Below are 27,419 nucleotides of genomic sequence, written 5' to 3' on the forward strand. Positions count from 1 at the left end.
CTTCTGGGCATTGATCCAAAAGAATTAAAAACAAGATTTCAGAAAGATATTTTCATTACCGTATTTATTAATTACAGCATTATTCGCAATAGCCAAGAGGTGGAAAGAACTTAAATGCCCATTGAAGGATGAATGTATAAATGAAACGTTGTATAGACATACAATGGAGTATTATTTAGCCTTAAAGAAGAAGAAAATCCTGTCAAATGGTACAATATGGTTAACTTTGAGGATATTATGCTACCTTTTTTTTTTTTTTTGAAAACAGCAACAACGACAAAGATCTAGTTTTTTATTTTTCTTTTCCCCCAAAGAATGTCATTGACCGAGGTTTGAAATGACTGGTTCCAGTCCCACTTATACCCTTTTCTCCTCTGGGCAAATTACTTAAACTCTCTAAGCCTTGGTTTCTCTCTTCTTTTTTTTTTTTCTTTTCAATGTTAATTTTAATTTAAATCTGTTTAACACCAATATTGTGCTACCTAATTTTTTTTTAAATTATACTTTAAGTGCTGGGGTACATGTGCAGAATGTGCAGGTTTGTCACATAGGTATACACGTGCCGTGGTGGTTTGCTGCATCCTTCAACCCGTCATCTACATTAGGTATTTCTTCTAATGCTACCACTCCCCTAGCCCCCAACCCCCTGAAAGGCCCCGGTGTGTGATGTTCCCCTCCTGTGTCCATGTGTTCTTATTGTTCAACTCCCGCTTATGAGTGAGAAAATGCATTGTTTGGTTTTCTGTTCTTGTGTTAGTTGCTGAGAATGATGATTTCCAGCTTCATCCATGTTCCTGAAAAGGACATGAACTCATCATTTTTTTGGCTGCATAGTATTCCATGATGTATTTGTCCCACATTTTCTTTATCCGGTGGGCATTTGGGTTGGTTCCAAGTCTTTGCTATTGTCAACAGTGCTGAAATAAGCATACGTGTGCATGTGTCTTTATAGTAGAATGATTTATAATCCTTTGGGTATATACCCAGTAATGAGATTGCAGAGTCAAATGGTATTTCTGATTCTAGATCCTTGAGGAATTGCCACACTGTCTTCCACAATGGTTGTACTTTTAACCTCTTTTTTCCAACACTCTTTAGGCAGGGAACCAGAAACCTAAGCTTGTTAGAACTGTGTCTAAAGTAAGAGTAATTAGGTACATGGATCTGATCTAACAGATTCTGTGATACACATATTGGTATCTATGTTTGTGTGCTTAGAGAACTTTCTTGAATATTCCTGTTTTCAGTTTTCATTCTTTATAAGGTACATTATTACAGTCAACATAAATAATGTAACTAGAAAACAGAAAGAAACAAGAAGTGTTTGCATAAACTGCATGGAATTCAACAATTTGTAAGAAAGTTTATATAAAATGTGTAAATGAAATATATTGCTCAGACATCATTATGTAGTAGTTCCTGATGCCCACAGCTACTAGCTGACTAACTGTCATATTTACGCCCTCAATTGGCAAGAGAGAGGTTGGGAAAATTCTGCTCACTGTTAAATTTTAAGGGTTGATAGATTTAGAAAATTCTGTCATTGTGTCATTATAGTATTATTTCATTGCATGGAAGTGTCACCCAAGGGGTTCGCAAATTATATCTGAATGGAAATTTCATTTGGTACTAAAATAACCATGTCTTAAAATATCATTTACTTCACCTTGCTCACTTTCTTCCTGATTGCAACTCTTTGCTGAAGGGAAGTATTCCTGACTTTGCTCTCTGTAAATCTTCAGAGAGCCAATTTGATAAGAACTTTTAGAAATTTCCTTCAAAATACACACCCACACAGTTCCTTTTCAAGTTTTTTAACTGACATGCTTTGTATATCATTTAATCACCACATTCAGCATTTACACATTTTCCAGGGAATTGCACTAGAACTCAAGAATGGGCCTATCACACATCAGCTAGTTTTGATTCACTGTCTTCCTCACTGCTTCATTCTGGCAGGAATCTTAGAGGGTGAAGGTGGGTGGATGACATGTCAAAAACACTTATTTTCCCATATGCAAGTGGTTTAGAAGCTCCTATTTAGGATTGTTGGAGGGAACACATGCGCAGCCTTCTTCCTGCCCACCCTCTCCCCACCATTGGGTCTTCAACTGATAAGCCAGGATATTTCATGGAATTTTATGGGGTCTAAGCAAGAAATAATTACTTTTAATAAACTAAAATATGGTTGTGATTGGCATGTTGATCTAGCATTAAAAAGCTTTGTGAATTTAGCTTTTGGGATCCAAGCTGTTTCCTTACTCATACTTACAAGGTAAACATCACTATTAGGCAAATACAGTCTCCCCCACCTCTTTCTCTCTGTCTATATATACATGTAATCTAAATTTATAATATATAATATATAAAATTTATATATATTTATATTAGAGATATAAATATATATGTGTATACACACATAAGTATGGGTTTGGCATATAGTAGCCACTTAAGAAACAGTAAGAGTTATTATTACCATCATCACCATTACTTTAAAGTTTATCATCTTAGTCATTGGGTGAAAAACATTTCCTTGAGGCGATAATGATAAATCTCTCCATGAGGTGCTACTTAATCTTTGTTTCTTTTGATGAGAAATTTGTCTATTCTGACTATTTAAAAACCTAGTGACTCTTTCTGATATTTTGTAACATGTAACTAACTACGTTTTGCTGTGTTTCATATTCCATTATGCTTGTAGCAATTACCAGAAAGACACCGGATTGTCATGCTGGGTTGTCATGGATGGCCTCTTACACTGTAGTTGGGGGCATGTTGTAATGTGGAAGAGTTGCGTGTGCTAATGATTTCTCACTATTCTTATGTTTTGTCACTGCTCACAACATGTCCATTTCTGAAGCATTATTGATTTTATTAGAACTCTGTCTCACTATATCTTCACATTGATATGAAAATAAATCAAGGACAAATATAGTTTTATTTGATGTAAGTCAATAGTTCTTAATTGTGGATGTGTTTTCATCAGAGTTAGCAGAGGTGTTTTAAATATGCATAACTGGACTTGAATTAAAAAATCCTCAGTGGGGCCCAGGCATATTCCCGTGGTTCAATCATTTACTGAGGAGAATTCCATTGAATACATGGTTCCATAGACTTTTTTTTTCAAGAAATATTTTAATGACCATTAATCGTGTCATTTTTTTTCTCTATTGTTTTTCTGTTTTCTATTTCATTGATTCTTATTTTTAGCTTTATTTTTTTCTTCTGTTTATATTTGCCTTTTAAAAAATTCTAGTTTCTTAATGTGGCACGTTAGGTCATTGATATGTAAACTTTTTCTTTCTATATTATGTTACGCATTTATGTCCTTATGATGAGTCAATCCCTGTATTATTACAAAATGACCTTCCTTATCCCTTGCAAATTTCTTTGCTCTGAAATCTACTTTTTCTGATTTTAATATAGTCACTCTAGCTTTCTTTTGATCAGTGTTAGCATGATATATCTCTTTTTTAGACTTTATTTTTAATACTTTTATGTCTTTATATTTAAAGTGCAATTCTTGTAGGCAGCATGTAGTTAGCTCTTTTTTTTCACAATATACTCTGAGCATTTATTACCAATTTATTATTATTGGAGTCACAGGAATATCTCCAAAGGGTAAGAACTTTTTTTTTAATTATTATACTTTAAGTTCTAGGGTACATGTGCACAACGTGCAGGTATGTTACATATGTATACATGCACCATGTTGGTGTGCTGCACCCATTAACCCGTCATTTACATTAGGTATTTTTTAATCTAATCTGTCAGTATCTGCCTTTTAGTTTTGGTGTTTGGACCATTTACATTTAATGTAATTATTTGTATGGTTAAATTTAAGTATCTCATCTTGCTATTTGTTTTCTACTTATCCCATCCATGGCGGTTAATTTTATGTGTCAAATTCACTGGGCTATGGTATATCCAGATATTTGGCCAAACATTATTCTGGGTTTATGAAGGTGTTTCTGGATGAAATTAACATTTGTACCAGTAGACTGAGTAAAGCAAATTGCTCTCCTTTATTTGAATGGATTCCATCCAATCAAGTGAATGTCTGAATAGAACAAAAAAGCCCTCCTGTGAGTAGAGGAAGACTCTCTCTGTCTGACTGTCTTTGAGCTTGGACATCAGTCTTCTCCTGCCTTTAGATTTGCTCTTGGACTGGAACTTAAACCATTGGCTTTTCTGGGTGTCCAGCTTGCTGACTACAGATTTTGGAACTACTAAGTCTTTGTAAATGCATTAGCCATTTCCTTGTAATAAACTGATCTCTCTTTCTTGCTCACTGTATAAGTAACACACACATTATAACACATTATATAAAAAATATATAAATATATAAAATATATATATCAGGGTTCTCCAGAGAACCCTGACCAATACAGTATTTATTCTTTGTTCTTCATTTCTTCTTTTATGATGTCATCTTATTTCCTTTGTTGGCTTATTAGCTACAACTCTTTGTTTTGTTAATTTGGTTGTTGCTTTAGGGATTAATATATATCTTTAACTGATCACAGTCTACATAGATACTACACATATGGCATAAGAACCTTACGATATTACACTTGCATTTCTTCATTTCACTCCTTTGTGTTCTTTATGTTCACTTTAGTGAACACATATATATATGCACACACACACACTATTAATCTCATACTATATTTTTATTATTTTTGCCTGAACAATTATACTTCTGGGAGATTTAAATAATAGTTACCTATATAATTACATTTCTGTTGCTCTTCATTTCTTTGTGATTTATGTTTCCAGGTTTCTTTCCCTTTATGTTTATTTTCTTAAAAATAAATTTATTAAAAGTTTTTTAATTGACAAAACTTTTGTATATTTATTGTGTACATGATGTCATTTTGAAATATGCACACATTATGGACTGGCTAAATCTAGCTAATCAACATATGTACTACCCTCATTTTTTTTTTGTCGTGAGAACACTTAAAATCTATTCATTAGCAATTTTCAAGAACACAAAGCATTGTTATTAAATATAGTTTCCACGATATTCAATATATATCTTGAACTTATTCCTCCTGTCTAATTGAAAGTTTAAATTTTTTGACTAACATCTGCCCAACTCCCCTGCTCCTAACCTCTGAAAACCAACATTCTACCCTCTACTTCTATGAGATCAACTGTTTTAGATTCCACATATAAGTGAGATCATTCTGTATTTTTCTTTCTACGTCTGTCTTATTTCACTTAATATAATGTCCTCTAGGTTTATCCATGTTGTCTCAAATGACAGAATTTTCCTCTTTTTTAAGGCTGAAGAGTATTCCCTTGTGTATATGGGCTACATTTTCTTTTTCCATTTATTCACTGATATATGTTCCCCTTTCTGTGTTCCCACATAATCTTGAATTCTCCTTTGTAAAACTTGCAACTGCTTTTTTAAAATGTGTCTCTTCTGCCTGACAGAAAAATTAATTAGGATGTAGGCCATATCTTTTGCTCAACAATCGTGTTCTCAGGGCCAAGCATAGTATTGGAAGCATACTCAGAAGGTACTCAGTAAATATTTGTTGAATGAAGGAAGGAGAAGAGTTCCATGCTAGCATTGTAACCAGTAGGCAAAGTCTTGATGAAGGCTGACATTGCTGAGGTACTGTACAGTGAGACTTGATAGTGTGTCATTCCCTCATGGAAAAAAAGAAAAGAGTAGGAATTAGTTACTTTTATCTCTTTTCTCTTGCTTCTAAATTCTTCAGATCGTTAGTCATGGTACTTTTTGTCTGATCTTTCAATACAACTTTTTGATATAAGATCTTTCTTAATCCTTGGGCTCCCAATTTGATAAAGAAAGATTTTCTTGTCCATTCATTTTTTCTTAATCTTCTCTGTTACTTTGATTTACCACCAGGGACACCTGGGCAGATGATTGTAAGTCAACGCTACTTCCCCGGGCCTTCGCATATAAACGTGAGTATCAGAAAAGATAAAGAATTGCCCCTTCTTTTAGATAAGGAAAGAATCATTGCAAAAAGCCATTTCAATGAATTTCTTTCCACACAGGAAGCAAAAATACTGTGCATCAACTAAACTGAAATATTGGACATGTCACTTGAGCTGCAACTAGTAATATATCTAGTTGTTTTTTAACCCCCAGGATGTTAGACTGTATCTATACTCCCTCAGTCCACAGTTTCAAAGGACTGCTCTGTGTTAGCTAGGCACAAATTTGAACTTATCTAAATCATTTTAAGCTCTATATAAGAATTACTCTGAACCTTACTGCCCCATAACAAATTATTTGATAAATAAATTAGTGCAACCTTTAAGTTTTATTATAGCTAACTATTTTGAAATTTTTACTATTTTTGCTCCTTTCTCTGCCTGGAAATTTCATATCCCAAATGTCTTTCAGGCTTGCCCTCTCACTTTCTTCATATTCTGCTCCAATGTCACTTTTATAGTGAGTCATCCATGGCTACTTTTAATAAAAGAATGACTCTCTACCATCACCCCAGCCCCTGGCATTTTCTATTCTCTTCTTTGTGCTCTATTTTTCTCCATTATACTATGACCATTTGACTTTCTATATATTTATTTGTCCATTTGTTCATTTTCTGAGTGCCAGGTACATTGCAGGTGCTACTATGGTTTGAATGTTGAACTCCATCCTCATGTTGAAATGGAATTGCCATTGTGACAGTATTAACAGGTGGGGCCTTAAAGAGGTGATTAGGCCTTGAGAGCTCCACTTTCATGAATGGATTAATGCTATCATGGTGGAAGTGGGTTAGTTATCATGAAAGTTCGGTTCTCTCTTTTTCTCTGTCTTGCATGCTCTTGCCCTCTTTTGCCCTTCCTTACTGTGTGATACCTTCTGCCATGTAATGACAAAACAAGAAGGTCCTTTCCAGATGTGACTCTTTGATCTTTGACTTACTCGCTTCCAGAACTGTGAGCCAAATATATTTCTATTGTTTAAAAATCACTCAGTCTGTAGTATTCTGTCATAGCAGCAGAAAGGGACTAAGAAAAGTGCTTGATAAGTATTGTTGAATGAATGCGTGCATTAATAAATGGTTAACTTGATATACATTTACTAACATGACTCAGTAATCATTAACATCTTGCATTGTATTTGGACATAAATGATAAGTAGTTGCAAAAAAGTACAACAATTAGTATTACTTCTAAGTAGATGAACAAAACATCATGGGAGAGAGGTTAATGGAGGAGAGGGAGGCTGAATTTAGTGAAGCAATAACTGGCTTTGAAGCCTTTATAAAGATACTTGATCCTTAACAAAGAGGTTTCCTCATTCCCTGGGTTTGGGCAGTCAGAGTAAGCACCCAGGACTAGAGTCTGGGGCTGGTGTGACTCAGTGCAGGCAGTTTTGCACAGTTGGGTGAGATGTATTTGTCTTTTACTAATGATGAAAAATGGAGCACCTAGCTCAGCCTCTGCAAGGAAAGCTGATGTGCAAAATCAATTAGGAGAATGATAAATCCTTTCCTCTTGCAGAAGAGATAACTGAGGGCCTTGGCCTGTTTGTCCATCTTTAAAATAGGGATTTGCTGACACTACATTTGGAGACAGTTTTATTTTCTGTGAGTGGCTTATTGGTAGGTACTTTCCTTAATTGTAGTTAAATAAATTTTATGTTTGTCTTTTTACTGTTGTATCTTCAGCACCCAGCAGATTTTCTGGCTCATAGTGGATACACTGATTTCTTTCCTTTTTTTCTTTTTTTTTTTTTTGAGACAGAATCTTGATCTGTCACCCAGGCTGGAGTACAGTGGCAGGTGAACATGGCTCACTGCAGACTTGACCTCCCAGGCTCAAGCAATCCTCCCCTCAGCTTCCCAAGTAGCCAAGATTATAGGTGTGTGCCACCACACCAAACTAATTTATATATATATATAATTTGGTAGAGATGAGGTTTTGCCATGTTGCCCAGGCTGGTCTTGAATTCCTGGGCTCAAGCCATCCACCTGTCTTGGCCTTCCAAAGTGCTGAGATTACAGGCATGAGCCACCATGCCCGGCCTACTGATTTCTTTTAGGTAGATAATATAACCCTCTCAGTCATATGGCCACTACTAAATTGCATTGAAGATGCCATATCTTCCAAACTGATAGAGTCTCCCTTCTCAGAATCCCAATGCTTGGGCCCCTGCTTGGATGCAACCCTGACTTTCTATGGTCATTAGTTTTCTTTTCATATAGATTGCAAGTGCCATGAAAGCAAAAATTTCCAGCACTTAAGCTAATGTCCAGTTCAAGCTGAGGGCTCAAAAAGGTTTGTTGAGAAAGAGCCATATTAATTTGAATTGACAATTGGTAACATCTATAAACTCTCTTTTCCCTTCCCACATCAAAGCTACCTTAGAGATCTCGTTTCAGAACTCGATATTTCAGAAAAATATGTTTGGGATAGCCTGACAGTATTGTTGTCTAAATTTATGACAAACCTATTTTGTAGAGACTCTGCTCCATAGAGTGTACTCTGAAATGTTGTAGGAGAGAAATCGAATGTCTGAATTCTTGATATGGCTTGGATTTGTGTCCCCACCCAAATCTTATGTTGAATTGTAATCCCCAGCGTTTTAAGAGGGTCCTGGTGGGAGGCGATTGAATCATGTGGCAGACTTCCCCCTTGCTGTTCTCATGATAGTGAGTGAGTTCTCTTGAGATCTGGTAGTTTAAAAGTGTGTAGCACTTCCACCTTTGCTCTCTCTCTCATGCTCTGCCATATGAAGATGTGCCTGCTTCCCCTTTGCCTTCTGCCATGTGTGTAAATTTCCTGAGGCCTTCCCAGCCATGCTTCCTGCACAACTTTCAGAACTGTGAGTCAATTAAACTTCTTTATAAATTACTCAGTCTCAGGTAGTTCTTTATAGCAATGTGAGAACAGACTAATACAATTCTCAAGCTGGGTTTTGTAGGGCAGATCAAGCAAGAAATTAAGGATATCAGAAATTTGTGAAGCTTGTTGAGTGACTAATGCAATAGACCTTGAGGTTCTAAGATATTAATATGTAAAGAGGGAAAGCAAATTGAAGACAAAAGGAGGTGATCAATTAAGGTACAACAGAGATTCAGGCATGAGAGCACTTGGGTGTCATGGAAGAATAGGACATTGTGGCCAGTGGGTGTGATAATTAGAATTTATTGTTTCATAGGTGGAGCAGTACAAGGTTATGCACAAGACTAGGGCATGACCATAGAAGTGAATTGTTGAAATAAAGTTCACTGGAGTTGAAAAGGTCGATGACCTCAGGGTAAAATTATTTACTTAGTAAGCAGTATAATTAATCCTGGCACTTGGGTCTGCTAATTCCACAGTCAGAGACAAAATTTTATGGCAAGCACACATTCATACCCAGGCCTGGCTGGACATTAGTAGAGAATCCACATGCAAATTAAGGAAGGCAATGTTCTTTGCTCTATTTCCTCCTGACTCCATTCGCTACCCCAATTATTTAAGCATCTTTTACTTTTCTTATTTAAGCATCTTTTTTTGGAGAACAATAATTTTTGACCTTTTTTAAAAAAAGAAATCACATAACTTTCAAGAAAGATAAATCTGTTCTCCAGATTGAGGCTTTTGAAAGCACATTATCTTATTTCTATTATAGTTGGAGGGTAAGTGAATGAATGGGAGAAGAGCTGAGGTATGACTTATAGTGAGACTTTAAAAAACTGTGGGATCACGTGATTTGAAAAGCACAATTCTACCGTTGGTGGGATAAGATATTTAAAACTGAGATTATAATGGAAAAGCTAGGAATGTTTCTTGTGAGGGCTGCTCTGAAATAATCTTACCTTTTAGGAGGCTTTCCTAAAGTGATTGTGTTTATTGACACATTACATTTTTTCTCTAACATAAATATAATGTCTCCTCTTTTCTCCATGAAAAACATTATTTGAAGAAATGCTATGCGTTGGTTAAAGTCTTGTTCATTGATATAGTCAACAAACATATAATGAAATAGTACTAGGAGCTAAGTAGCATGACCTTGTGCAAGCTAACTTAACCTCTCTAAATCTAATAAAAGTGTGTATTCATTTCTGCTTGACAGTCAGCTTCACCTGATCACTAGTTTTCTTTATGGCTGCAAACATTCATAACACAAAGAAATAATACATGTTTGAGATGATGGATATGCTAATTACCCTGATCTGATCTCTCCACATTATATGTATTGAAACATCACTAAGTACCCCATGAAATGTACAATTATTAGTCGTCAGTTAAAAAACTGGCAATAATAACAGTAACTTTCTTCACAGCATTATTTTTGTGAAGCTAAAATGAAACAATGCATGTAAAACGCTAAGCACAGTGCCAGTGACAAGGATTCAGTGTCATTCACTGCTAGACATGACAGCGTGCGGCTTTGACTTAATGCCAAAGAACAAAAACTGCATTTTCAATCCTGACAAACCTTTAGGGTCGTAAACCAGGCTAGGACAAGTGTTAACTTTTATGTTTAAAAAATGATGTGTGAGTTTTCCTTTTTCTATTTTAGTTGTATTTCTTAAGCAGTTATATATTAAGGTAAGTATAGTATGTCTTGGTTAAAAAATAACCTAAGACCAGAAATAAATAATAAAGGCTTTAGGATTTAATTATAAATTATTTAATGATTAATCTGAGACTTTTAAATCTGAAAAGAAAAAAAATCAAGCATATGGTATCTTAAAGTACAGTCAGCAGACAACATTATTCTTGTTTCTGATCAATATAAGGGCCAAATAACTGCTGGTGGTTTTTTAATCACCGATAAGTGAAGCTTCCAAAAATTGCATCTCTCCTCATAATTCAATAAGATGAGATTGCTTTTTCCAAAGATATGATTGGTCCTTTTGCCAAAGGGGTGGAGAGAGCAGGGAAGTCTAGAAAATGAATACCTTTCACTTATAATGTTCAAAATCAGCTGAAGCACAAAGTAACTAGAGTATTATTGCTCTGGAAGGAACCAATAGGAAGAAGTCGCAAGACCTGAGCAAACCCAGCCAGAAGCCCAGGGAAAGAAACTTCCCCTGGCAGGCTCTTAAATCGGTGAGTTTTAACAAGGGGCTAAACCAACTAAGAAACAAGAATTTCTAAGATTTCCTGTCTGGAAAATAGGACTTTGAATTGAATGGTCAATTACAAGGAATTATGAGGATAGCTTATGCATGATACACGAGGCAAAGAAACAATGACTCTTAATTCATTTTCAGGGAATTTTTTTCCTTTCTTTTTCTTTGTGGCTGTGAGAACTAGGAGCACGTTAAAGCTGTTCTGTCTGAGCCTTTATTCTGAAAACCACTGTAATTAATGAAGTTAATTGGATTTTTTTCCTACTGTTGGGTTTAGGCCCAATCTGTCAACTAACGCATATAAAAGACATCTCAGAAGCAGAGTTTCACATCAGGAATAAAATAAAGAATGCACCCAGCAGTAAAATAGTGAGAATCTGTAAAATTGCAATTTCTGATCTTTTCTGAAGCAATCTGAGTTTCTTTGCCCAGGTGTTTAGCCACTTTGTTCCTCACAGTTTTTTTTTGTAAACTTGTATATTTCCTTTTGATGAGGAATAAACAGATCCTATTGTTGAAAATTCTGCATGTTTCATGTTGATTATTATTATTACTGAGGGCAACTTAATAATTATAAATCATCGCTAACATGATCTGTATGGATATAGGAGCTCAGAGCTGGAGTGTTTGAATTTGAGATGTAAATTAGGGGATTTATTGCCCTTTTCTCAAACATTACTATTATTATTGTCCAAGTTTCTTTTTATACTCTTGAGGGCTGAGGAGGAAATAAATTGCCTACAATAAATAAAATGTCCAAAGATGCTTCCAACTTGAGAAGGATTTGCAGGTCTGTTATTCCTTGGTGATGCTGTGGGGAATTCTGTGGTTCCGGTTTCATTTCTGGGGTTTATGGTTTCCCGCATGTTTCTGGGCCAGTGTTTAGATCAGGTGGCCCCTTTCATTATCAGCAGAGGGTTGGGTTACTTGATTGCTTTGCTAAGAAGGACTTTTGGATGTAGGCAATGTCCCCTGGGAGATAAATAGAAGAATGGACACCATGCCAGGAGGTGGGCAACCTTGTCTAGTACTTGAGTAGGAAGCGCCTCTTATTCTGAGAAAGAGAAATATTGAGGCCCGGAAATTACAATAGTAATTGTTATATAAAAATTTACACCTCATCCCTTTTGCTTGAGAGACTTGGGTTGGAGAGAGTGTGGGCATAAACTAATTTGAAACTTACTATTCAGAAGCTGGATAAAATAGTAGTCATTACATGACAGTTGACACTTTAAATATTATCAATCTAAGAAAATGTTAGAGCAGGTCTGTCTATTTCTCATAATTCTCCTATTACCTTAGATTTGTCAATTGGTTTCAAGCTGAACCGGTTAGGAATAAATTGGCATGGAGGTTGTTATTTTCAACAGACAACTCTGCCCGCTCTTTACAAGGCTTACAAAATATTGAATTGAATTGATTGCTCTTTTGCTGGCTTGGTTCTGTAGAGAAAAAGATTCTTGCCTTCCTACTTCCCTTCCTTTCTCCTGCCCTTCTTTTCCATGTTTTCTGCCATATTTTTAGTTAAGTGTGTTGAAAAAAAATACTACTCTTTTATTTTCTTCTCTAGCATCATATTGAACCATGGCAGAAAAAGCCCGAAAAGCGTATGTGCATTTCTGTTTGACAGAAAACCTCAGCTAATTACTAGTTTTCTTTGTGGCTGTGAACATTTCCCCTGTAGAGAAGGCAAGGATCTCATTAGCACTAGCTAATAGGTAAAGGTTACCCCTCTGGAGACCTGGATTGGGGTATTTGAGACCCCAATCTATTGATTTTATTTCTTGATTGCTACTTTGCATGTCAAGGTGCTTTCAGGTTTTTCTTTTCATGTATAAAAGAAAAACACTATATTCTTATATAATAGATGTAAAAATAATCCAAATCTTTTCACTGGAATACAGAATTGATCTATGACATATCACTATTGGTATCATTATGGCTTATTGCATGTTAAGCACATATAGATGCTGACACAGAAAAAAAATAATTATGAAGAGCACAGCTTAAATTTTTTGAATTTATAGAATACTTCATGAGCAAGAAGAGACACAATTACTAGGAAGAAAATCCTTAAGGTGTGACCTCTGGCTGACACACATCCAAGGCAGTGCTGGCACATGCTTAGAGCACAGATGTGAGCTGCTTACCTATGTGGGGAGACTTCAGGGCTGTGAGTAGGTCTTTCGCAGAAAAACCTTCAATTTCAGCTTCTGTAAGGCATCTCATTAATGGCAAATTTCCAAGGGAAGTAATTTATAGACTGAGTAGGCGCCTGCACATAATCCGTGGTAAATAAATATATGAATGAATAAATGGATGGGTGTAGCAATTTCACTAATGTTATAATTTGTAACAAATTCTTTATTAAAAATATAGACAATATTGCAAAATTAGTATGCCATTTTTAAACAATTAAAAAAGTGGCTATATTACCAAGTATCCTCACTCTCCAAATAAAAAGTAAAGAAAGAATTACTCCTAACATCATTATACATCATAACCATGCTAACACTATACATAATAAAAATATATTTTAACACTTTGGCATATATATTTCTAGGTATCTTTCTCTATAGTTTTCTCTCGCTTAAAAATGCTTCATAACTCTTTGATAATTAGTGTTTTTCCATAAAATGTATTATAAATGTCATACCATGTCAACAAGATTTATCAATTCCATTTTTTTAGAGAAGATTTTGATAGGAAAGGAAAGGGGAGGTGCTTGAAACCACTGTGGTGCTCAAATGGGGAGGTCAAATCCGAAGGTCGATAGAGACAGGAGAGAGGCTAGCATGCAGAAGGAGTAACGGAAGAAAACTGACTGGTCTCCAGTGTGGTTGTCCCTGGACGACTGGGAAAACTTGCTGGTCTTCATTGTGGTCGTCCCTGCACACAATCATGGCCCATGCCAGCTGGCTCGCTGGGGTTGAGTGAAAGAAGCTTAGTCCTGAATTGTTGGTCCCTTATCATAAGACACCAGCCTAGAGGCTGGCACAAATTTCTGAAGTTGGTATAAAAATGAATCTGACCACAAATCCTTTTTCCTGTAGGCTTATTGTGGGTAATCCTTTTGAACAGTAGTGGAAATGGGCAATCACCCACTTGTTAAAGACCTGTGTAAACCAGCTAAAGGATTTCTGAATTTTTAATAAACTATGTTTCCTTACTTACATTTTATCAGGCTTAACACTGAGCACATTTTACCTCGAGATATTGAATATTATCTGCTTACCTTTCTTGGACATCTCTCTAGTTCGTGGGTGTTTCTTTGTTAACTTCCTGAACATTTCCTGGCCTTCGATGTTTGTTTCCAACTTACTCTGCACCATCTTACACCTATTTTGAGGTCTGCTGGCTTCTACTAGGTTTCAAGTAACTAATTTCAGAAACTACTTTATGTTGAAGTTTTCATGGATTCCGGTAGATTCAAATTTCATGTTCTCAGATAGTATATCCCTAGAAAGAAATTTCGTGGTGATGATGCTTCAGGCAAAAAATGGCAAAAGTTTCAGAAGCCAGAGCAGGCCAGTGGAGAAGACCATTTTGGGCAGGTCACTTTCACCTTGCATAAGTGGCTCTCCACACTGCCCATGCTTTTTGGTATTTCCTGCATTAAACCAGGGAAAATTTAGCAGGTCAAGGGGAAATTTATTGCCAAATATTTTTTGAAGATAATTTTAAGACTAGATAGAGTCTAACAGAGTTGGACTCTGTTTCTTGGTACGAACTTGTGTTTATTTCCTGTTAGGAGGGGAACCTGTGCCATTCTCTCTTCCGTATTTGCTTATACCTATTTGTAAGTCCATTCAATTTGGACATGAGGACTTCTGGCTACATCTAAAGATATTCTTTAATTTTTCATTGTGGAATAATACAGGATTTTAAATGGCTAATTCTGGTAACTCAAAAGATATTTAAAACTTTTATGGGTGATGAAGAGTGGAGATGTTTTCAGCTTTTTCCATAATAAGCTGTTATGAGAACAGTCTTAGGAAGATTTATTCATGGTCCAAAAGACCATTGATTAGCAGATGTGAGAGCAGTGGAGTATATTTTATGGCTTAAAGGATTATGCTAACATGAATAATCACATACAACTTACTCCAAGAAGTTTCATTTATATCTTTCACAGAATCATAAATTCAGCAGAAATTTTGACAAGTCATTTAGTTTCTCCTCCACTTTTAAACAGGATACTTTCCTCCAACCCCCATATGTTGTTTCCCAAGCAATAGTGCCATGAAATATTGTGCAAGAAAGGCAAGCTTCCATGGTTACAAAATTCGACAAACTGATCCTCTTGGAAATAATATCATAGACCCTGGAAGTTGTACCCAGACTACAGTACCTAAAGAATAGCTACAATACAAAATACAACAATAACAATATACAAAAAATAAAAAATAAGTACATAAGAGATTCAGATATGCAGCTGATTGGGAACCATTGGTTTGATCATAGGATGCCATCCCAGGGAACTGGGGGATGTGGTGTTGAGGGCCCTGACCACCTGGGAAGGTAGATAGGACAGCATCTATCTACTATGGGCGGTAGGCAATCTTCAAATACAGGAGGTAAAAGAGGGAAGGAATCGACAAATGACTATTTTATTTACACAATGAGGTAATTCAGGCACATTCAATACTGAAAAAGAAACTCTCTAAAACATATCTCTGAACAAATTCAGTCATGACTATGTGTTGCATTTATTATTTTAAGTAGTACAGTTAGTGTTCTGCAAAAATATTTATGATGGTTGCATTGCTATAGCCTGTTTTCAGCAAAAAGTATAATTCTGTATCAATGATGAAATAGCACCTCAACAAAATAATGATAATGATCCCATACTATGCACTGGTACCTCTAATTTCTTTATGAACTGAAAGTTATTTTACTCATGTGTAGGTAAACCAGAGGAAGAATTAGGTAAATTAAGTGGATTAATTTCTCCTAGGAGTATTTTAGTAGTGACTGAAGGAGCCAGTTTTATATTCTGAAGGATGTAGACTTTGGATAAAAGCTTGAAGGTCAAGTGGAATTTGGATAGACTGAGAAGAAATGGAACACAAATTACATATGGGGAAAATAAGTGTAAAGTGTGAAGTTGAAAAATGAGTTTGTAATGTATAAAGAAGAGTGGAAAAAAAAAGAATTCCCAAATAACCATGTATTTAGGATTCTCTGCCTCTTTCTCGCAGTGTTCCTCAGGAAGAGTTGTGTCTAAGTTGTGTCTTTGAAAAGAACTAGAAACTCTCAAACACTGTATTTCCAAACTTAAACAATAGCATTAATTTTGATCAGTGTCAGAAAAAAAATAAGTCCACCTATGATATGTCAAAAGCAACTCTTCTGCCAGGCAGGCAAGGCTCTACAGGACAAGATCCCATTTTACCAAGCCAAGATGGCTACCACTTCTCTCCATGATGAACTCTGTTCCCATGGAACAACTCTTTTTCCATCCCTTATACACTTTATGTTCATTTTTTCCTCCAAATCTTAGCTCATGTCATTTTCTTACTGAAAATATTCTCTACTGTTTTCGTTGCTTATTAAAGCCCCTTGGGGGCTCAAGTGAAGTTTTATGTTATCATTTTCATTATTAACATATCGAGTCTTAGGCTGTGCAAGGCCTGGGTACTTCTCGATATAGGAAGGACACTTCTTGATATTACACACACAGTCTAGTTAATTCCTCAGAAAATAGTATTATTTCCTTGCTTTAAAAATTATTGTCTAGGCCAGGTTCAGTGGCTCACACTTGTAATCCCAGGACTTTGGGAGGCTAAAGTGGGAGGAGCCCTTGACCCCAGGACGGGAGTTTGAGATCAGCCTGGGAACCATAGAGAGATACTGTCTCTACAAATAATAATAATAAAAAAAATTAGCTAGGTGTTGTGGCGTGTGCCATGGTCCCAGCTAGTCGGGAGGCTAAGTTGGGAGGATCACCTGAGCCTAGGAGGTCGAGGATGCAGTGAGCACTGATCACATCGCTGCACTCCAGCCTGGGCAACAGAGTGAGACCCTATCTCAAAAAAATTCTCTAAAACCAAGTAAAGCAGCATTTTATTGTTTTATATTCTTGTATTATTATTATATTTTCTGACCATTAGTTGCATCTTTTCTCTGTCCAGAAAATGATAGATACCCTCCCTAAGTCTAGATAACATGGTAAACCTCTGTTGTCCTACCTCATAATGCTGGGTTTGTAGTAGATGTTCAGTGAATACTTGAGTTAACACACAAGCATCCATTGATTCAGCATGGGACCCTGAGGAAATCTCTTATACAATAGCTATATCTTGATGGATAGGCAAGTTTGGGAAAAGTAAGCATCTCAGCATATAATAAATATACAGGACCCCCCATTCATAATATGCTTTCGAGTCCGATATCCTATTGCTCCTACAACAAGCATGAGTGACAGGTAAGAAGGAGACTGCCCATTTTACAGATGAAGTGGTTGCAGTTCAGAAAGTTTAAATGATTTGCTCAAGATCAGAGGGTGGGTATCACAGCTGGACTCCAACCTTCATCTTATGATTCTGAAGCTAAGGTGGAGGACAGGACTGGACAGCCAGTTGGGCGGGGGCAATCTTTGGGGAGGAGAGAGTTTACCAGAACAAGAGGCAGTCAAAGGGGAATCAGGAGTTTGAAAGGTAAAGATAAACTTTCACCTGGGGTAGGTCTTGGGATGTGGTGCATCTGGCAGCCAAAGATTTCTCCTACAGCTTTCTAACCATCTCAGGGAGAAGGATTTGGAATGAACATTAGCACATGACTGTCCTCAAACTGTGTGTAGGAGACTGTAGTTTCAGCCAACTGGCCACTGAAAGGGTCACTAGCCTTCCTCTGTAAGCTGTAAGTTGGCAGTTAGAAAGGGGTTAAATTCATGTCTTTTGCGAAGGTGAATTACATGGTTAGATATGTGCCGATCACCCTGTCACCGCCTGTGGGGCACACAACTCTGTGTTCCACTTGCTGTCTCATATAATGCCCGAAATTGTTGCCTAGAGAGCTGAACAGTGACATCTGTTGGTTCGATTTGAAATAGGCAAGTTCAAAAGAGAAACAGCCACACTAGTATTTCTTCCCCTTTCAAAACAAATAGGAACAATCATGACAAAGGAATGACCCTTCCAAAGGAAGTTTTAACATCAGCAGCATACTTTATCTGAAGAACAACACACGACTCCAAGTTTCAGGATGAGGGATATCATGTGACTTTTATTTTTGCAGAAAGCCCATCAAAGACTTTGTGTAAACCTTTTAAAACTCCAATTCAAAAGAAACAGTACTAAGACCTGTGTATCTGAGAAATTCCTCAATGCTCAAGATTTCATCCAGAAGCATAAATGAGCAAATAGAAAGTATGGATTTGGGGCAGTGGTGAGAAATAATGAAATTGCTTTCTGCTCTAGGAAACTTGAGAAACAAACCTTCCTGTGGATGTGCCTGTGAGTTACAACCCAGCTTGAATCCTTTCTAAATAGCTCCAAATTTCAAGATCACTTTGACAATCACCTAGCTCTTAGCTTCAATTAATTAAGTGTCCATGTTCCTTTGTACTGAATGCTCTATTTCTTTCCTTACAAAACTCTAAACCTCATTGAATGTACAATGGAAATGATTTTCTGGGAAATCTGGATAATCAAAAAATACTATATTCTGACAAGTTATATATATACATATGTAAATTTTTTATATATTATATATAATTTATATACATAAATTATATATATATAGTGTGTGTGTGTGTATGTGTGCACACTCCATACAATATCATTTCCTGCTCAGACCTTTACAAAAATTGCTAAGAAACAGTAAATTGCACAGTTTGGCCTTCAACCTTTTAATCACCCCAAGGAGAAAAGAAGTGGCTCAAAGAGTAGCATGAGAAAACAGAGGAGAAAATGAAGGCTTGGATAATCTGCCAACCGAATAACTGAGTAATGACATAATTGGATCATTGAAAAAAATGTTAAAATTTTTACCAGTTATTAATTAGAGAATCATGCATGACCCTGGGAACTTGCTTTTTGTTTTAAAACAGGAGCCACGATTATGAAATGGTTCAAGCTGGCTTATTCAGGTCTGCTGAGATCTCTACTGGTTTGCTTTTCAGATCCCTCGTGGTTCGAGAACAGAATGGCGTTAAATCACACTGCCCTGCCTCAGGACGAGCGCCTGCCCCATTACCTTCGAGATGGGGATCCTTTTGCTTCCAAACTTTCTTGGGAAGCGGATTTAGTGGCTGGCTTTTACCTAACAATAATTGGTAAGCTTCCTTAATTCTTCTGTGCAAAGGCTGCATTTAGAAAATTCATGGGCTGATATGTTAATTTTGTGAAAGGATTCTGATACTTAAGTGGATAGTTTAGTGGAGGCGAAGAGTGGGGAAAGGCAGAAGATGGAATGGCATTATGGCATTCAATAAATGTTTCCTAGAAATGACTCTTTATTATCATTATTATTAGGAATAAAATTCCATTGATAATCCAAGAACTCTTACAGCAAAATTATTTATCCATTTCATTTTGGTTACTTTGGGAGTAGATTTACTTTCTGAATACCAAAATTAATGATAATGATATTTTATTTAAACAGAGTGCTTTTTAAATAATGTTTTTGACATAATCATAAGTTTTAGGTTGAGAATGGGCCTTAAAAATAATCTAGGTCAGTCTCCTGTTCTCACAACTGTGCAAAACTCAATTGTGCTATTGTGCTATAGTACTATAGTAATGGCAGAAACACTGAGTTTACTTCACCTAAAAGTAAAGTCGCATCAAAATAGCTAAGCCATTTTGGTGACAGTTGAAAAATGTGTTGGTGATAAATGGAAGAAAGTCCGGGGTCAAAAGATTTTTGTGCATAATTGACGAAAGGGTGCACCTGCTTCTAGACTGCATGATCTCATTCATTCAGTAGCCACATGTGGCTTTTCCAAATTGAAAGTTGCTGTAGTGTAAATACTCACCAGATACTGAAGGCTCAGTACAACAAAAAGTGGTATAAAATATCTCATTAATAATTTTTAAAAATTAAATACATGTTGAACATACAACATTTTAGGTATGTTAAGCTAAATAAAATATATTATTAAAATTAATTTACTGTAAATTTTAAATTTATAAATTAAATTTTTACTTTGTAAATTTTTACTTTGTTTAATGTGGCTACCAGAAAATTTTAGAATCCATATGTGGCTCGCATTTCTGGCTTACATTACATTTATACTGGATAGCACTAATCTAGACAGTTAGGATTTAATTTAACCACCTATTTAAATTTAAGAAAAGAAACCATACTTTTCTTAAATTTAAAATTGTTGTTTTAACTTTGGGTGACCAGTGTGAAGGTGGGTTATGTCTTTAGGTTTGTTTGCCTTTAATTTTTTCAGATGTTGGGTCAAACTTGCTCTCTCTCTCTTTTCTCTTTGTTTCTATCTTTCTCTTCCACCCTTCTTCCCTTCCTCCCTTTCTCTCTTTTTCTCCCTCTCTCATCTATTTATTACTGGCTAAGAATTTCATTTAACCTCCTGAAAGTAGCAAAACTCATTAGAAAATACTTGATATCCCTCTATGGTCAGTACTTGAGGCAAAAGGAACTCATGTGATTCAACCAAATTCTGCTGTAAAGTGATTCCCTGGGTCTTTGTCTTTATTGTTGTTAGTGTTTTACTAGTTTAAATTCTGTTTCTTATAAATGAGTCCCCATCTCTTTTCAACATAAATATATATTGAGCGCCCACTCTTTGCCACTGTTTTAAGTTGCTGGGAATAGAGCAGAGAATAAAATGGGCAAACATTCTGCTGGAACAGAAACTGTCTTATCTCTGTAAAATCCACATTGCATTTTTATTAAACTTAAGTACTTTCAATTAACAGAAAAGGCAGAAAAATAAGCAACTTGATCAATTGTATTTAGCATAGCTCCATCACTTTCAAGGAATGAATTAAAAAAGTAACATCAATAACCTGACAAATCTCTCCAGACAACACAAAACAGAGAGGCCTATCAGTCCATTCCCAATCTTAAGCAGGGAGGATTGCAGGAGGATTGCAACCAGGGTGAGGAAATCAGGAGAATTTCCCACCTGATACACATGGAGTTGGAAGGAAAGTCCACAATCATATTCCAGTGGGTTTGCTGAGATGGAGCCAGAAAAACAGGTTGAAAAAGAGTCCCTGGACAGGGGGAGCTTCAGGAGGATCAGGGCACTAGGAGGTGGAGCCAATGGTATGTTAGAGAACAGTCACGCAGGGTGAGGAGAGGGGTCGACTGGAGGGGTTTGGACTCACCCTAGATCCACTTCTTGGACTTGGCCGTGTGTCTGGTTTTCACTCTCCTAGAATAGGCTAGTGTAGATGTTGCAAGATTCCTTTTTTTTTTGGACATAGAGTCTCACTCTGTCACCCAGGTTGGAGTGCAGTGGTGCGATCTCGGCTCACTGCAACCTCCATCTCCCAAGTTCAAGCAATTCTTGTGCCTCAACCTCCTGAGTAGCTGGGGCTACAGGTGTGCACCACCATGCTTGGCTAATTTTTGTGTTTTTTAGTAGAGACGGGGTTTCGCCATGTTGGCCAGGCTGGTATTGAACTCCTGGCCTCAAGTGATTTGCCCACCTCAGCCTCCCAAAGTGTTGGGATTACAGGCGTGAGCCACCGCGCCTGGCCAAGATGTGTGTGTCCAGATTGCTTTTAAGGAGCCAGAGTGGAATAAACATTCTTGGTGGGCTTTGTTAAATACTAGAAGTCTTAAGAGACAATGGAAAGATAACAATATAAATCTGAGTTTGAAATACAGGAGACATAAATTACAAACCCATTTTCTACCTTCCACACTTTTACTATTATTGTAAATACTGAGTTTATTAACAGTTAATATATATGATATTTTTGTATCCATAAATGATATAGGATTTGATAATCTAAAAGTGTCCCCACTTTGGTCTTTATCTTCTTAATCTGGTTGTCTTTTCAGTAATATTAAGAATAAATTTGCTTTTTCCTGACACTCATCTATAACATATATATATTGCTTGTTAGAATAATTTACATGCAATGAATAGAGAGGTGACTATTTTTTGATAATGCTTTGGGCACTGGGTGAAACCTTATGAAGCAGGGTCAGTAAAGAAAATTTAAGGAAGGAAAAGTAAGAAAACAAATATTTTCAAAAGAGATGTAGACAGATGAAAGGTGTTTCAATGAGCCTTGTGTATCAAACGAAAATGGATACTTGTTTTTACTCTTTTTGGATACAAAGTAGGTGGCATTAAGTTTATACTTTTTCAAGCCACGTTTTCACATTTTGCTTTCCTAGCTGGTTTCCTTGAGTGAGACCTGTTTCATTTTAGTTGGTTTGCTCTGGAACTCCGTAATCTCTTTTATTTTTCTCTTCTTCTGCTTTATGAAAGCTAAAGAGGTTTTAATGGACCATTAAGCAGCACTGACTCCAGGGAGTCAGAATTTCCTAAGAGCACAATGCAGTTAGTTCCTGGTGGTTTCATACCATCAGCTGAATCACACATTTCTTTCTTTGCCCCCAAAATGAATTGTGGTGGAGAAGTAGAAATTAAAATAGAAAACTCTGGGTTTCTCCTGTTAATACTCTCCTTATTCCTTACTACTAAAGGCAGCTGTACCAGATTCTCATTTATACACAGCTACACTATGAAGCAAGAATTCCTGAAGAAATCTACTCTACATGTTAAGCTATGGAAGTAGGTGTATTCTTTTCTTAAATAAAGTCAGTAGGGATTGGGTCTTTTTGGATTTAAACTGGGTTTGTAAGAACTTTCGAACAGTTTCATTGTAATGCCAAAGGCAACTAGTCATTAATAAAAGGATATGAAAAAGTGGGAACACACTTATGGCATTGTTGGTAGGTTCGGTGGGTTGAGGGTCACTTTCTCTCCCCTTGGTGGGAGGGACAGTGCCCAGGTTCTCGATTGTCACCCACTTACCCTTGATATCTAGTCCAGTAGCAGCTGAAGGCTGTCCTATCTGCCAGACACTCAGTGTCCATGTCTCCCAAAGAGGCGGAAGTCCTGGGGCGTCTCTGGGAGATGTCCATTTTCTTGAAGGGAGTTATGCCAGTCATACCTGGCCTCTGCCTCTCCTGAACACTGGTGCTCCCTTAGGAGTTGACAGTGATACTGAAGGCACCTTCTTTGGTTGGCTTCATCTTCAGAATTTATCAAGAGCTAAGGGTTTAACCCTACTGATCAGAGGGAGGGAGTTCTATAAAGCCAATAATCTATAAAAATGGCTGAGGAAAGTACTCCACTCTGGGGGCCAGGACAAGAACTGACCATTGGGATTCCCACACTTTCCTGAGCCTCGCGGGGAAGTTAGCGATGCCTTTTTCTGGGTAAGTTCAGTCTTATAATCCCTGACTCCTGCCCCATTGGCCTGTCACTCACAACTCATGCTTTTTATTTCATCTTCTTAATTTAGATTTTTTTATTTAGAGTCCTCTCACTACCCTCTAAATCTATGGTGTCCATTTTTGAAGTTGAGAAGTGTTTCATATCTGAGTGAACTCGAAATCTTAGTTTTAACGATTGGAATTTTTATTTTTCCTTGTAGGGATTCTGTCCACATTTGGAAATGGATATGTCCTTTACATGTCTTCTAGACGAAAGAAGAAGCTGAGACCCGCTGAAATAATGACTATCAATTTAGCAGTCTGTGATCTGGGGATTTCAGGTAACACAACCATGCTGTGTTTTCTTTGTGGGTTTAAACTACTCCCCATTCTAAAGTACTCACTGTCTCAAACGTCACCCCCTGACATCTCTTCCCTTCACATCTCCTTCCACTCTTCGCTTCACAAATCAACTTTCAGAGTTTTGTGGTAAGTCAATGGGGTGCTGTCCGGCTGACAAGATTATTCATTTAATATTTATTGAGTCTTTTCTGTGTGTCAGGCATGTTAGATGCTGAAGGCACAATTTGAAATAATATGTGATACCTCAGATGTCTCAAAGTGTAGTGGGCTAAATGATTCAGAAATCAGAAATCAGGAGGCAAATCCCAGGTCAGTATTTTAAGCTTCTTTACACCTCTTCAACCCTTATGGAAGTCTGATTAAAATAAACATCAACAAAGGAATCTTGAAGGGTAAATGACAGTTGAAGACAGTTGAAGGCAGTTGAGAGGTGAATGTAGGAAGAGGAAAGAGGTGCCCTGCTGATGATATATGTAATCATGACTTAGTGACATATCACAAGCATAGGAAGCTTCTGGTTCAGTGGTCCTCAAATGCAACTCACAAAATATCATCTGGGGAAGTTCTGAATTAAGTCGTTGAGAGTGTTACCTGGGCATCAGGATATTTAAAATGAGAATCTACAGGTATGTTAATGTGTGGCCAAAATTGAGAACCACTGGCTTCTTTTTCACTTCTCTAATAACATGGCAAGGAGTTGGAAAAAAATTTCTCCTTCACTATAATTCAATTTAAAAAATATGAACCATTTTAAGTAAATCATTCTTCACTTTCTTCTATACAACTTCAGAGTTGCTTAGATGGACTCTAATCTGTCTTTGAATCCCAACATCTGCTATTTAGCTTATGGTTTTAGGTCATTAGAGTAGGGTAATTTGTTTGAACAGTACACAGCAGCTCCTCTTACCATTAGAAACTTGTTAGTAGTTTCCCGTCAAAAGCCTCCTTTAAAAAATATTTCGTGTCTGGGCACAGTGGCTTGCACCTGTAATCCCAAAGCTTTGGGAGGCTGAGATGGGTATAAAGTTTGAGGCCAGGAGTTCAAGATCAGCCTGGGCAATGTAGTGGGACTTCATCTCTACAAAACAAATTTATCCTTGAAGTCTGGGTATTGGGTAAAACTAAACAAAACAAATAAAAAATAGCTGGGCACTTGATCAAGTTCAGGAGTTCAAGGTTGCAGTGAGCTATGGTACTACCACTGCACTCCAGCCTGGGTGAAAAAGTGAGACCTTAATTAAAAAAAAAGAGTTTTCCGATATTTGTTTCTCTCTTCGCAAGTGGATTTTTCTGCCGATCTCTAAAAACAAGGCTCAATAATAATCCTCCGCATTCTGAGTCACTCTTTAGCACACAGCAGATGTGTGCTTACTCAGAGTTTGGATGGTCTTGGTTATCTGGGAAGGCTTTATTCAGTATGGACCTGCATAAACATTATGAACGCTTATGGTGAATGCACACGCACATTAAGAAGAGCAAGACATGCCTGGTTTTGTGAAAATAAACAGGACGAACCCCAGGGGATTTGTGAGGCTGCAAAATGGCTGCCATTTTTACCTGTTGCCACGCGATGGCGCTGTCGCAACAGGAACGGTAGCTTTCCTGGCCAGCTCGCCTCGCGGGCCCCTAAGGTGCTCTACCTGGTATTGAGCGTAACATGCCTGAATGAAACATGTCATTCCAGCTACATCCTTCATCGGTGAATAATAGCAGGCTCATTGCTGAACTAGACTAGGCTTGAATAAAAATGTCCTTAATTGGCCTGGTGCGTTGAAATATGCTCTCAGCCAAGCAAGTCGGCTCTAGAATGGTGCAAACCACCTCATTACTCTGCTTACGTCTTCAGAGTAATTCACCAGAAACCACTTTCTTTCATACAACAGGTTTCACTAACCCAGATCATTTTTTTCAACTTTGGAACATCTATAATGCATTTTCCCTTCCAATAAACGTTAAAACTTTGCCTGCTTTATTTTTTTCTGGCTCAGCTATATTCCATTATAAGCACCTCCTGGAGGCCAGATGTATGGCATTTATGCAACTAATACTTGTTGACTAAATATCAAGGGCTCCCAGTCGTGTGTATTATATACACGTGTTATATTAGGATAACCTCTTAGGATAAAGTCGTGTTATATTAGGATAACCTGGGGGGGGGCGGTGGTGGTGTTAAAAATATGTATAATGCCTGAACTCACTCCAGATAAATAACAATATTGGGAGGTTTGTGGGGAGGGATGGAACCCTGGATGTTGATATTTCAAAGCAAAGCAAAACAATCCGTCCAGCGATTCTAAAGTGCAGCCGGGTTCTGGAAACATTCTACTAAGTGGAAGAGAGACATTCTAGATGACACCCCAAAGTTTAATCCAAAGCTCTACTGAAGAAGGAAGCCTGAAATCGCTTTTGCTAATCAGGATCCCAGGCACAACAGATGTAATCTTACTCCATTCTGTCACTTTCACTTGTCTTTTTGCTGCCTTTAGCACCCACCTGGCTGACACCCACCTCAAGCCTTTTAGTTTGCTGTTTCCTCTGCCTCTAATCCATTCCCTCCAGAAGTTTATTTGACTTCTTTCCCACTGATTTAGGTATCTACCTAAATGTCACATCTCAGAGAAGTCTTCCTTAATGTCTTTATGTAAAACAACAGTTTCCATCTACCTGCTTTCTCTGCTTTATTTTCCTTCATTGTACTAATCACTACCTATCTTTCTGTCATACCACATCTTATATTACAAATTTAGGTGTTTTTTTTTTTTGTCTGCTTTACCTGTTAGAAAATAAACTTGTCAGTCTTGATCTCCACTTTGTCCTCTAGCACCTTGCTCTGTGTTTCTTACATACCAGGCATTGAAAAATTTGTTGTTGAATGGAAAAAAACCCCACAAACCTAAATAGTTATTTTACACTCCATTTCCTTGTGGACTCATTGGAATTAGGAGGCTGTCATATGAGGGCACCTAGTCTAGCAAGCTGAAAGATGGCACTAACCATCTAGACAACTAGAGGAGACGTGTGTCTAGATTGCAGAAGGCATTCAGTGAATATGTGTTGATTCACCGAACTAACAGGAACTCCTGAATACTTTTGTAAACCATAGAGGAACACACCTGGGAGAGCTGGGAGCTAGCACCTGCAGGCTGTGAATGTCAGTTACTTAGCTTTCCTAAAACATTAAGGTTAGGGAACCTTCTTTTGTGATATAGATCAGTTAGAGGTTTGAAGAGCTTCCTCAGTAATTTTTTTTTTTTTTTGTGGGGGGTGTGGTGAGGACTGAATAGGGAGGGCTACAGGTTATGAGGTAAAAGTAGAAGAATGCTTTCTAGAAAGTGAAAAAAAAAATTCTAATGGAGGGTCAAGGAATAAATAGTTTAAATCCCAGAAATCTGGATCTGGTTGTAAACAGCTTGGACCTCACATTTACTGAAATAGCTATACCGTATTTGAATAAGACATAACTTAACAGAAGAAGAAAAAAAGAAACAACTGAAACAGAAGGAAATGTGGAAATCTGGTTCTAACCTTAACAAAAAGGATTTTAAAATAAAATTCCTAAACAATTTTTTTAAAACAGTGAATTTTTTTCTTTGAAAAAGAGCATGACTTAGAAGCTGA

At 37.0% G+C, this 27,419-nt stretch overlaps 1 protein-coding gene across 7 annotated transcripts in view; it reads left to right on the forward strand.

Moving 5' to 3' along the window:
• Positions 1-19,176: 19,176 nt before the first annotated feature.
• OPN5 (opsin 5) overlaps positions 19,177-27,419 on the forward strand; it is a 44,350-nt gene continuing 36,107 nt past the window's right edge. For 2 of the 7 annotated variants that reach the window (NR_033806.2, XM_017010412.2), the window contains exon 1: positions 24,213-24,427. Coding sequence is in view for 4 of the 7 variants with exons in the window: in NM_181744.4 (NP_859528.1) it covers positions 19,212-19,341; positions 23,660-23,779 (250 nt within the window). In the remaining 3 variants the exon portion in view is untranslated. Of the gene's footprint in view, positions 19,342-23,375; positions 23,780-23,823; positions 23,928-24,212; positions 24,428-27,419 lie in introns of those variants that run through there. The other 5 variants (NM_181744.4, XM_017010416.2, XM_017010410.2 and 2 more) reach the window with 5 other exon arrangements.

Source organism: Homo sapiens, chromosome 6, assembly GCF_000001405.40.
Source record: "Homo sapiens chromosome 6, GRCh38.p14 Primary Assembly".
In the NCBI taxonomy this organism is placed as follows: domain Eukaryota; kingdom Metazoa; phylum Chordata; class Mammalia; order Primates; family Hominidae; genus Homo; species Homo sapiens.